Below are 13,512 nucleotides of genomic sequence, written 5' to 3' on the forward strand. Positions count from 1 at the left end.
ATACTTACCTTATGACCCAGCAATCCTGCTATTAGGTATTTACCCAAAGTAAATATAAATATATGTCCACACAAATACCCATATGTGATTTCTCAGAATCATAAAAAATTGGTTACAACCCACTGGTCCATATCTGGTAAAGGGGTACACAAACTATGGCATATCCAGATAATGGAATACTACTAGGCAATAAAAAGGAAAAATCCTACATGGTTGTATGAGTCCAATTATATAATATTCATGAAAAGCAAAACATTAGGAACAGACATCAGATTAGTAGTTTCCTGGGAATGACAAGGAGAGGTGGGATTATCTACAAAGATCAGAAGGGATATTTGGAGGATGATAGGAATGGTCTGTAAACTTGACTGAAATGGTAACAACATGATGGTGTACATTTGTCAGAACTTATCAAATTGTACAGTTAATAGGGGTAAGTTTTATAATATGTAATTTATACTTCAACAAAGCTTTAGATATATAAAAGTCTGAAAAATCCAAAGAGCAAAGAACAATTAATTATTAAATCTTAACTTCCCCCCATTCTTCCACAATTTGGGATTTTCACCTTAGAGCAAAATACTTAACTCTTTTGCCTATGTATTGGAGAAAATTCCGTAATGAGTTTCTTCACAATGATTAGCATTCGTATCTTGTCCTCCGCCTTGATAACAGACTGGTTAATTTCACAAAAACAAGCAATTTCCTTTGCTTTAAAGTTCTGCCTGCCCTCTTAAAATCCTGATAGAAGCTGCAAGAGAGAAAAGGATGTCTTTACAAAAACTCTCTTCCTTCTAATTTTTCAGAAATAAGGTGTACCCAATCCAAAGTTACATTGTTTCTCACACTGTGTTTTCTTTATCCATACTTACTCTTTGATTCACTAGTTTATTATAGTAGCTTTTCTGTAGAGTGGGACATATCTAACATTTCTGGGGGATGAAAGAAGATAATGGGAATTGTAAGGGCGCTTCCAAATCTTGTATTATGTTACTAAGAATATAAACAATGCACCCAAAGATGCTCACCAAAAGTGTTCAATTGAATGAAACCTGAGTTTCATGGTATTGCCAATAAATATTTATTTGTAAATTAAATGAGCAACTTACCCTCACTCCAACCTATTCCCATAACCTCCCTTATTGGTTTATGTTTAGAGTTTTCTATATCACATTATGTTAAAGGAAACTTACACTTGCAATCTTACAAAATGTGTTTTAATGGTTCATAAGGCAAGAATAATAGTTCACATTTTTGAATGTTTATGCGTTAGACAAGCATTGTTCCAAGTACTTTAATTTAACCTTCACAAAAAGCTATGAGGCAGATTTTATTATCTTTGTTTTAGAGATTAGGGAATGGAAACACAGAGAAGTTAGGCCATTTGCCCAAGATCACAGTGCTGTTAAATAGAGGAGTCAGAATTTGAACCTAAACAGTTATGGCTCCTGAATCACCACCTATAACTTCAATTCAATATTGTCCTTCAATGAGAAAGCTGTTAATTATACATGAACACACTTGTTTAAAAACAAATACTTCATGAATACATACCATGTCTTGAATGCCTCTCTAGGGACTGGGAAAATAACAGTATAACGTTAAATAATACATCTTTTAACTTGCCAATTTCTAAATAAAAAGTTTAAATAATTCGGAAATAAAAGTATGTTTTCAGTATAGATATGCCCACAACTAGTTTATTAGCCCATTTTTGAGTTACTATAAAGGAATAACTGAGGATGGGAAATTTAGAAAGAAAAGAAGTTTAATTGGCTAACAGTTCTGCAGGCTTTGCAGGAAGCATGGTACTCACAACTGCTTCTGGTGAGGCCTCAGGAAGCTTATAATCACGGTGTAAGGTGAAGAGGCAGCAGGCATATCACACCGCAAGAGCAGGAGCAAGGCTGGTGGGGAGGTGCCACAAATTTTTAAACAACCAGATTTCATGAGAACTCACTCACTATCACAAGGATAGCACCAAGCAGCTCATAAGGATAATGGATCTGCCCCATGACACAAACACCTCCCACCAGGCCCCACCTCCAACACTGGGGATTCCATTTCAACATGAGATTTGGAGGGGACAAACATCCAAACTAAATCAACTAGTTTGTGTCCTGAAGTAAATCACTTTACTTATGAGAGCTTTAGGGTTTTTCATCCATGAAATGGGGAGGTTATGTCAGAAAGTTATTTAAGGTCAATTTGTTTTATCTTCTAACATTAGACTTAAGCCTATGTGGATTGCAAATTCTCATAATTCATAGAAAACTTCTTAGTTTTCAGTATACTGTCTGTATTTCCAAATCCACATAAATTATGGAGGTGTAAAAGAAACTATAAACTCAGCTAATTTTATATTATTTTATTCTATCGGTTGTTATTTTTATCATGACTGTTTCACCCTTTAAGGGGAAGCTATTTCAGTATAATTTTTGAAGTTTTAAGTCTGATTTCTAAATATAGATTGAATTATTCTCTTAAACTAGTAAAAATGATTTGAAAGAAGGAAGGAATGGAGGAGAAAAGGCATGAAGAGAGAGAAAAAGTGAAAGGAAGAAACTCAGAGCTACTGCTAATGTTTTATTTGTTTGGCTTTTATTTTTATTGGGGGTGGTAAGGAGGAGGCGGGTTTGGACAGAAGGACAAGATACTTCCTTCTAAAGCTTTCCACATGATGAAGTTAATTATCATTTCTTCTCTTCAGACATGGATGGCTCCTTCCTAAGAAGTGCCAACATCTGTTGAGAGAGAGAGAACATCTGTTAGGCAAGTGGAGATATTGGGAGATAAGCTGCTTACTCAGACAGTTTGGGCATGATGAAGAAATCATAATAAACTGGAAAATTAAGATTAAAATATGGGCATAATTAGTAGTTTTTAATGTGCCAAATACTGTATTGCTGAACACATAATTAACGGGGTCAGAAACTCCCAGTGATTGTCAGCAACTCCAGCTCATAGTAGCTCAACATTCTATTCAGAAACATCTACTAGGTGGTGGGTCACAGGTTTACTCAGGGTAAATGCTTACAAGTGAGCACACACTAAAATGTTGTCAGCTTGTATAAACTCCAGGCACAGTCCCCTATAACCCAGGTCACTGTGTGTAGACCTGGTCTCAATGTATGGTGCCACTACTTTAAGTTCATATAAATGCGTGCACGTGTGTGTGTGTGTGTGTGTGTGTGTGTACTGTAAGTGCAAAGACAATAATTGTAAGGAACACATAATTATTTGGATCTTTATCGTTTTTTAAAATTTCACACATGTGATCTTCCCTGTTTCCAACAATCCTGTGAGACGGATTGGCCAAACAATCTCTCCATTTTAAAATTGAGGAAACAATCTCCAAGTGGCTAAATGGTTTGAGTCAGGCTATATAGGACTTGTAAATAATAAATTCATACATTTAATTCCATATAAAGCCTTGAATAAACTCATTACAATATGAAATGGGTATCCTAAAATTCAAATTTCAACACTGAATCATACATTAGTAGTATAATCCAAAATATCTCCCAACCACATTCCCACCTGATACACACACATTCACTCCTCTCTTTCTCTCTCTCTCTCTCTTATTTAAAGCCTACAACTCTTAACTTCAGTTTCTAGAAAACCTTAAGTTAGAATTTTGATCTTTCTACTATGCCAGCACTATAATTTTCTTCTTTCCTTCTTTCAATCAGCCAGAAGAGGGAGAAATTTAACCTAGCATACATTATTCTTTTCAAATAGTTTGTGTGGTTTTCAAGTTTCAGTATTTAAAAAGATATTTTCTTAAAATATTAATAATTTCAGATTTTTATGTTGATAAAAGAAGTTTGTGTATAAAAGGGATTGAGTAAATACCAAGAGAAGAGACCCTAAGGCTGATTAAAGCTAAAAAAGTCTAGGTTTTCAATTCTAAGAAACTGTTCCTCTCATTCTTTCCAGCAAAAGGCCTAAAATACAGAGAAGTCCAAATGTCACCAGAAAAATACCTACTTTTTTCCCAAGGTGTGGCCAATGTCAGCACATGAGAGCAGGCTATCTGGTCTAGCCTTATGCATTGCTTCTTGCATTGATAGTCAAGATGTTATTGTGGAAACTGAAGCCAGTGTCACCTGATAACTCTTCTACTTAAAATGATAGCAAACACCAGCAAAATAATTTTGATTAGTCAACAGGTCTATTAACAACTTAAAAGGGGTCCTAAACTGTTAAAAAATGTCAGGAATACAAAGGAAGACTAAGATGTGGTAACGCTTCTCAGGAAGAAAACTGGCATATGTAAATCAAGACATCTAGAATAATTAAGTCCTAAACGGAATGAAACTAACCGTAAGTGCAATCTAAGTTCATATCTGTGTAATAACCCTCACTGCCACAAAAGAATGAATCTGTTTACTGAGCCCCATGTGTAAACCTCATATCAGTTTCTCCCTTAACATTTTCAGAGTATATCTGGGTTTAAAGACCAATCTTTACAAGGAGAGGAAGGAAACTTCAAACATAGCTACTCCAATCTTAATTGTATTACACTTACTGTCATGTCTCACAATTGATTCAAAATTATATAAGAGAATTTGACAGTTTTATTGCTTTCTCCTCAACTTTGGACTCAGTGAACTGGATTATTTGTAGGTTATCCTTTTGGGACAGGGGGTAGTCTGGCTCTGTTGCCCAGGCTGGAGTGCAGTGCCGCAATCACTGCTCACTGTAGCCTCGACTTCCTGGGCTCAAGCAATCCTCACAAAACAGCCTCTGGAGTAGCTGGGACTACAGGCTCACACCACCATGCCTAGCTGATTTTTGTATTTTTTGTACAGACGGGCTTGTGCCATTTTGCCCAAGCTGGTCTCAAACTTCTGAGCTCAAGTGATCTGTCTGCCTTGGCCTCCCAAAGTGCTGGAATTACAGGTGTGAGCCACCACCCCCAGCCTATTTGTAGGATATTCTGCATGAAGTCAATAAAGGTTTTTGGTTACTGATGTTCAAACCAACCTGCTATTTAATACCACTGCCAGAGGAAAAGCAGGTCACAAATTTTCCTGAGGAATCAGAAACAATTTATAGAGGCACATATTTCTTAGTAGCTTTGGAATGATGTAGATACTTGGTTCATACCATAGAAAATAAAATAGATATTTTTGAAAATTCTAACAATATGATGTAATTGTCCATAAATTAGGAATGGCATCAAAAGAAAATTGACCTTAGTCTTGAAATATTATAAGAAAAAAACTTATTCTCAAGAATTAAATTAACTAATATCAATCTTTTAGCATAATTATCCAAGTTAATCTCTTCATATGAAATAGATAGGTCAATATGTTATACTTAGCCCCAGAAGATATATTTTGCAATGAATTCTTCTGAGAACCTGTACTAAGAAGCCATGTGATGCAAAACAATCTTTAATATGAGGAAATGGAGCTTTTTATTTCTAGTGAAGGTGTGAAATGGTTTATCATGTCTTTGAAATATTTTCAGACCAAAATCATCTTAGCCCTAATTTTACAAGTGGAACTTCGGAGATTTGAGCAAACCTTCATTCAAATTCTGAAACACATTCAGAAATATTTCTTGAGCAAAATCCTTACTATGCTCACAAGTCTTGGTGCAGTTTCTCCATCTCACAAACAAATAAATATATGTGGAGCCTTGTCTGGGGCCTTAATTTTCACAGAGGAATGTCAACATCACCACATGTGTGTTGGATTCAAGTATTTGTAGCCAAGCATTTGTCTGTCTCTGGCTGTGTGAATATAAATGGACTTGACTCACACAAATAAAAAGTCTAAAAAATTAGAATGCAAGTGAGATACTAGAATAATATTTATACCATATATGACAATGAGTTTGCATCTTTGCTGTATGAAGAATTTTCAAGATGTGTTCTGAGATAGAAATGATAATAGTTTTAAGTGACACAACATTTCCAAAGGGCAATGTTGAGACATAATGATTATATTAGGTTTGGTACAAAAGTAATTACAGTTTTCACCATTAAAAGTAATAACATTACTGTGTGTGTGTGTCTGTCTGTCTGTCTGTTCCATATGCTTAGTATGCACTAAATACACATTTTAGCTAAGTTCTATTGGCATCACAAACTAGACACACACATACACACGAGTAGATGATGTACGTGTGCTTCCAGAATTTTTTTCAAATCTTAGTTTATGGTTATAATGAGCAATTCCGATTTGGAACAAACCCAAATTCTGGTGGTCCCCTAAGTGCTTTGCTGAAAACACTGATTACTATTACTGATTACTATTAAAGTAATAGTTTAATTAATAGTAACTTCTAACATTCATTGGATGCCAAGAAGAGTGCTTACTACACCTGTTTAATATCAAAGTAACGCTCACAGCAAACCCATGAAGAAGTTATCATTGTAATCTCTAATTTCAGATCAACTGAAGCTCAGAGATATTAACTTGTTCAAAATCACAGAGACATGAAGTGGGAGAGCCAATATTCACATTCACAGAGTTGAACCCCAGAGCTTTCAAACTCTTTGTGACTTTTGACTCAGTCAAAATTTCTGTCATTTTCTAGAAAAATTTTCCAAGTAAATAATTAGGTATTCATACACAAATATGATAAGAGCAGTAACCCTGATAACAGCAAAATCTTGGAGACAACATATGTCTAATATTAGATATTGTTTGAGTAAATTATGGTTACACATACAAGAATATGCAACCATTTAAAATTATTTCTCAAATAGTTTTTAAGGTCATGGAAAACAGTCACATATATTGCAATGTGAAAAGAAATACGTGACTAACGGCTCACTTTTGTATATAAAGTTTTGTATTCATAGATAACAAAATGGTTAGAACAATAAGTATCAAAATGTTTATAGTTACTTCTAGCTAGAGAAATTATAGATTTTCTTTTCTCTTTTTATAGATTTCTGTGTTTTCAACATTTTCTATAAACAACATTTATTGTATTTACTTTGTAAGTTGAAAAATTACATAAATTTGTGATTTAGTCATAACCCTGTAAGCCCTTATTGTCCATCTATATTCATTCTATTTTTATCCTTTTGTTTCTACTATTTATTTTTTCTTATAATGCTTTATATGTATTATAAGAAGGTTATAATGCTTTAAATGTATTATATTTATTTATTATATGTAGTTTACATATAATAGCTATATATTTATTTATTATATGTAGTGTATGTATAATCATTTATTTGTGTTTTTATTGTTAAATTTCTTAAATTCTAATGGAATCCAATATATGTATGGTAGCCTCTTCCGGAACCCCCATTACATCCACTGCCAGATCTCAAACATATGAATAAACTAACCTACAAAATTGGATAGATGGTCCTTTTAAACCAAAACATAAACCCATTATACTGTGTTTTCATGTTTAATCCTGAATCAGCTGACCATTTTACATAAATTTTTACTAAAAAATTCATTTGATCTGAGAACATCTCCCAGAGCCTGGGACACATTTTCCCAATTCCTGCCTTGAAGTTTAGTATCAATATCATATATATGCTCTCTCAGAGACTTTGACATATCATAATATCTTTATACACAACTCATATATGTGCCATGCATTTGCATAGAAATGTCATACTTCTAAGAGCACTTTCACATGCATTGACTCAACTAATCCTCCTAAGACTACAACACAAGTATCACTGGACCAACTTAGATAAAAATGTCATGATGGCTACTTATAGCTAATCCTTGAGGCTATTACCTTTTCTAACAGAAGCATGATACTTTACTTGCCAGCACTAATAGATGTGTCAATATTGAATCCATGTTATATGTTAAGAATCAATGTTTTCAGCAAAGCACCCCACCAGAATTTTGGTTTGTTCCAAATCAGCATTGTTCATCACAACCATGAACTAAGCTTTAAAAAAAATTCTGGAAGTACACATACATCATCTACTTGTGTGTGTGTGTGTGTGTGTGTGTGTGTGTGTGTCTAGTTTGTCATGCCAATAGAACTTTGCTAAAATGTGTGTTTAGTGCATACTAAGCATATGGAACACACGCAACACACACAGACAGACACAGATTTTTCTTGTGGAGAATAATTAAGCTGAAGATGTGTTCTTTCTGGGGGATAAAAATGCAATTAAATGTCAAATCTTTCCTTTCAAAAGACAGAATAAATGTTCCTTTTTTAAAAAACTCCAGATGGTTAAATGTATGCTTTTGAAATTTTTCTGTTTGAAGATAATCTTTTTGCCTCACAATTCCCCTGAGACTCTTCTCTCCTTCAGTACTCTTTAACAGTTTTTTTCTCAGCCCTCAAACACTGTTCCAACTAAAGAGGATGTCCATTTCCTTTTCCTTCAAATTTCCTCTTCCATTGGTTTCCTCAATGACCCGCCCTTCTCTCTAATGGCTCCCTGGCCAGCTTACATTCTAGAACTCCAACTGATTCAGCCCCTGTCATCTCTCTCTGCACTTGCACCATACACATATCTTTGAAAACACTAGTGACACAGCTTCTAGCAATACCTATCAGCCATGGAGGCATTTTTCTGAATTAGATTTTAGCTTCCCTCTTAATTTCTTCAGCTCTTACGTGCAATTAGGAATCACAAATACAAAAATGAATTATACTTATTCCCTAACCCTAATCTACCTCACAAAGGTAGGTGCTACCTCACTTCATGGAGGTAATTCACAAACAATGACCAAAGAACCAGAGAGCTATTTCAGCAGCAGGCTAATCAATATTATGAAAAATGGAGTGTTTGTGAAGAGGGAAAGACCTAGCTTAGTGTGATAGTAATCTAGTTAAAAATCCTCAAACTTGCAACAAAAGAGATTCCTCTACATTCTTCTAGCCATTTTTTTTCAGAAGGATATTCCACAAATCATTTTATGATAGGCTTTCTACTACAGACATCAAATGAAAGATTCTTGAATAAATATATGAACTCGAAGGTGTTGGCATTATGGATGTGTTTGATGCATCACATTTTAAGCTCGAGTTTCTGAAACATGTAAAAACGTCTAAGCCTGCCTGTGAAGGTGTCTATCTTATGAAAGTGGTCAGAAGTGTTGAAGCTCTCAACTCTTACTTTGAATTTGTACAAAGCATTAACCATCACATTGAAAGATCCATAATTTAGCCTTTTTTTCTCTCACATGAGCTTAGCTTTGACTTTGCCAAAAAAGTGGGCCTTTTGCCTCTAAAAACAACAAGTGGTTGTATTCTGCATATTCTCTTCTTTCCTTGATGACACCCCTGATTGCATCTAACCTGCCAGCAGAGCTGGACTGGAAACAAGAGCTTTCATTTGGCCATGAGAACAAAGAACAATTGTTTCTGTTAAGCAGTGAAGTTTCTAATGCAGCCAGAGATTACAGAATAGAATCCTCATAAGGGAAGAAGAAAAAAATTCCCCATCACGTCAGCACTGTCAGTGACCAAAGCCATACGCCAATGTATGACCTATGGCCCTCAAAGCAGAGGAATATTTCTTCCTCTATAAAGTGAGTGTTATTTGATTAAATGAATGTTTCTCTAATAAATAGCATACTTAAGGTCTTTCAAAAACCTCAGAACAACCGTCTTATCTGGAGCCAAATAAAAGATATATTGGCAAAAACAAAACTTTCATCCAAATTAATAATGTCTTTATATATCCCTGTCCAGATCTGCATTGGCTCAAGAATTGGGAGGCATTTCCCCAGTAATCGTTCTGTAACCACTGAGTTTTCTAGCAAAACCAGCAGCCTCTGCATCGAGTGAGGTTCACAGGACCTATTTCTGAGGTTGTCTTTGTCTTCCTGTCCATTACCACTGTGTGATATTCATTAGTCAATCACAAAAGAGCAGATTATTTCACATGTCAGTACAAAGGCACTTTGGATCACACTTCAAATTAAAAAATAAAATACAACCTAACTTCCATAGAGGATATACACTTTCCCCTCCCCACTCTTTGCTTTGTATTGTTTTGTTTTTAATCTTCACCGTTCTTTTCTTTTTGAAATTGAATTTGTTGGCAGGGATAGACTATCTGCCTATTTTGAAAATGGCATTAGTAAAAAGCAAAACCCTAGTGATAGTTCAGAAGCTTGAATGAGTTGATCATCTTGGGCCATCACCTTCTGGGCACCATCCCAGATATAAAGTCATTGCTCATTTGGACACTAATTGCTATCCTTCTTGGTGGTTATTGGAGAATTAACCAAGCAGATTACTCTTTCATCTTCCTATCTGAAACTTCCCCATATTACACCATCTCTGGTAAGGTAGTAAATGGGAAATTTTACTCCTTCTTGTCTTATAATATATGCCATAACAACTTGAAAGATTAACACTAATTAAACAGCAGTTACACTTCCACAATCTTTTAGTCTTCAATTTGAGCTAATTTATCTCTGAATTAAATAATAATTTGAAAAATAACAGCTATTTTTTATTCGACACTGACTCTGTTTACCTGCCTTTTCTAAGTGCTGTAAATATATAATTTAATCATACAAAAACTTCATGAGGATTTATTTTTAGGGCATATTAATTAGGGTATAAGAAAGGTAGCAGTAATGAGACAGCCAAAGCGCAATGGCTCAGACAAGGCAAAGGTTAATTTGTCTTTTATAATGGACCCTGATTCCTGAGGTTGTCCAGGGACTCTGTGGTGGAGGCAGCTCTATCTCAACTGTGGTTTCCACTTCTGTATCTAAAGTGACTGCTGCAGTTGTCACCATGATCCAGACAGGATGAAGTGGGAAATAGAAAGTACTGGGAAAGCAGTAGGCCTCTAAGAAGTACCTAGAAAGTTAACAAACATCACTTCCTGCAAACAAGCAGGATCTGGAGAGATTCACTAAGGCATTTTTGCACAAAGAGACTCCTTATTAATAGGGATGCTATGGATTGCAATGTATGGAAAATGCATGGTTGAGATAATTGCCATTTATCTGTGTAATCATGAGTAAAACACTGACCTCCTCTGGATTTCCATTTCTTTTGAAGTAAAATTTAAAAGTTCAATGACATCATTTCCAAGGTGTCCTAAAGCTCTAAATTTCATGATTATGTTTAGAAACATGTGCATATAAAATAAAACTGATAATGTGCTATAGATTAGGAATTCAGAAGAACCAGAATTTTGTCCAGTTTGTCACAGAATGAGATTGGGAGAAGCTGTCCCTTTTGTTTGATTTTTACCATTTAATAGCCAACATTATCCAAAATGAGTTTCATATAACATTAATTCCATAAAATTCTCAGAGAAAAACAAAGGCAGTTCTATGATATTTTAATTGAAATACTTTTGGTTAAAAATGAAAAATAAAGAACTAGATTAAAAAAAGGGATAATGTCTATAAGGAATATAGAACGTCAGGCCACCATTTATGCTGTTTGGGCAACTTAGCCATTCCAGCCTGTGGGTTTTGGAAGCAGTACCCCAGCACAGCACAGCTACTCTGTAAAAGTGTGGCCACACTGCTTTTTTTAATCAGGTCCCCAATCCCATTCCTCCTCACTGGGCAGAACCTCCCAACTGGGGTCTCCAGCCACCCCCACCAGTGTTCTCCATCCTATAGAAATTTGAAAACTCCCTGGGATGAAACTCCCAGAGGGAGGGGTGGGCCTCCATATTTGCTGTTTGGGCAACTTAGCAATTCCAGCCTTTGGGCTTGGAGAGCTCAAGCTGACAGGAAATGGAGGTGGTACCCCAGCATGGCACAGCACCTCCATGAAAATGTGACCAGACTACTTCTTTAAGTGGGTCCCCAACCCTGTTCCTCATCACTGGGTAGACTCTCCCAACAAATGTCTCTGGTCACCCCCACTGGTGTTCAGCTGACAGAGGTTTCAGGTATCCCCAGGAAGGAGCTCACAGCAGAAGGGGTGGGCCTTCATCTTTGCTGTTTCAGTAACTTAGCTGTTCCAGCCTTGGGTTTCAGAGTGTCCAAGGTGACGGGCAGGGGAGGGGGGTGGGGGCTGAAGTGGACCCCCAGAACAGTACAGCTGCTCTAAGAAAACGTGGCCAAACTACTTTTTTAAAGCAGGTCGCTGATCCCATTCCTCCTGACTGGGTAAGACTTCCCATCTAGGGTCTCCAGCCACCTCCTACAGGTCCACTCAGGTTGGCAAAACTTCCATACCTTCTTGGGATGGAGCTCCCAGAGGAGGGTGCAGGCTGCCATTTTTGCTGTTTCACAACCTTCACTGGTGAGACATCCAGGGACTGGAAAATTCGAGGTAACCAGGGACTGGAGTAGACCCCTAGGATACTACAGCAGCCCTATGGAAAAGGAGTCAGACTGTTAAAAGAAAAAAAAATCCATCCAAAGGTCAGCAACATCAAAGATTGAAGGTAGATAAGCCCACAAAGATGAGAAAGAATCAGCACAAGAACGCTGAAAACACAAAAAGCCAGAGTGCCTTCTTTCCTTCAAATGACCACATCACCTCTCCAGCAAGGGTTCCAGACTGGGATGAGGCTGAGATGGCTGAAATGACAGACATAGAATTCAGAATATGGATAGGAACAAAATTTACTGAGCTAAAAGAGTACATTGTAACCCAATGCAAGGAAGCTAAAAGTCATGATAAAACATTGCAGAAGCTGACGGACAACATAGTCAGTATAGAGAAGACTGTAACCAAACAGATAGAGCTGAAAAACACAATACAAGAATTTCATAATGCAATCACAAGTATTGATAGCAGAATAGACTAAGCAGAGGAAAGAATCTCAGAGCTTGAAGACTATCTTTTTGAAATAAGACAGGCAGACAAGAATAGAGAAAAAGAGAATAAAATTGAATGAATAAAACCTCCAGGAAATATGGGATTATATAAAGAGACTGAATCTATGACAGATTAGTGTACCTGAAAGAGATAAGGAGGATGGAACCAATTTGGAAAACATATTTCAGGATATCATCCATGAAAAATTCCCCAACCTAGCTAGCAGGGCCAACATTCAAATTCAGGAAATGTGGAGAATGCCAAAGAGATACTTCATGAGAAGATTATCCCCAACACACACAGTCATCACATTCTCCAAGGTGAAAGGGAAAGAAAAAAATATTAAACGCAGCTAAAGAGAAAGGCCAGGTCACCTACAAAGGGAAGCCCATGAGATTAACAGTAAGCCTCTCAGCTTAATTCCTACAAGCCAGAGCAGATTGGGGGGCCAATACTCAACATTCTTAAAGCAAAGAAATTCCAACCCAGAATTACATATCCGGCTAGATTAAGTATTATAAGTGAAAGAGAAATAAGATCATTTTCAGACAAGCAAATGCTAAGGGAATTTGTTACCAACAGACCTGACTTACAAGAACTCCTGAAGGAAGCACAAAATATAGAAAGGAAAGACCATTATCAGCTGCTACAAAAACACACTGAAGTATACAAACCAGTGAAACTATAAAGCAACCACATAAACAAGTCTGCAAAATAACCAACTAACATCATGGTGACAGGATCAAATCCACATATAATAATACAATTTTAAATGTAAATAAGATAAATCCCCCAAATTAAAAG

The 13,512-nt window shown here is 36.2% G+C and overlaps 1 long non-coding RNA gene across 3 annotated transcripts in view; it reads right to left on the reverse strand.

Annotated features, from left to right (window-relative positions):
• The window catches only part of LOC102724210 (uncharacterized), a 396,780-nt gene that overhangs the window by 20,740 nt on the left and 362,528 nt on the right, over window positions 1-13,512 (reverse strand). For all 3 annotated transcript variants that reach the window (XR_001741824.3, XR_939184.4, XR_001741825.2), the window contains 3 exons: window positions 12,120-12,259; window positions 1,817-2,744; window positions 589-751 (listed from right to left, as the gene is read on the reverse strand). This is a non-coding gene — a long non-coding RNA (uncharacterized LOC102724210). The remainder of the gene's footprint in view (window positions 1-588; window positions 752-1,816; window positions 2,745-12,119; window positions 12,260-13,512) is intronic.

The sequence above is a fragment of the Homo sapiens genome, chromosome 4 (genome assembly GCF_000001405.40).
Source record: "Homo sapiens chromosome 4, GRCh38.p14 Primary Assembly".
NCBI lineage: Eukaryota > Metazoa > Chordata > Mammalia > Primates > Hominidae > Homo > Homo sapiens.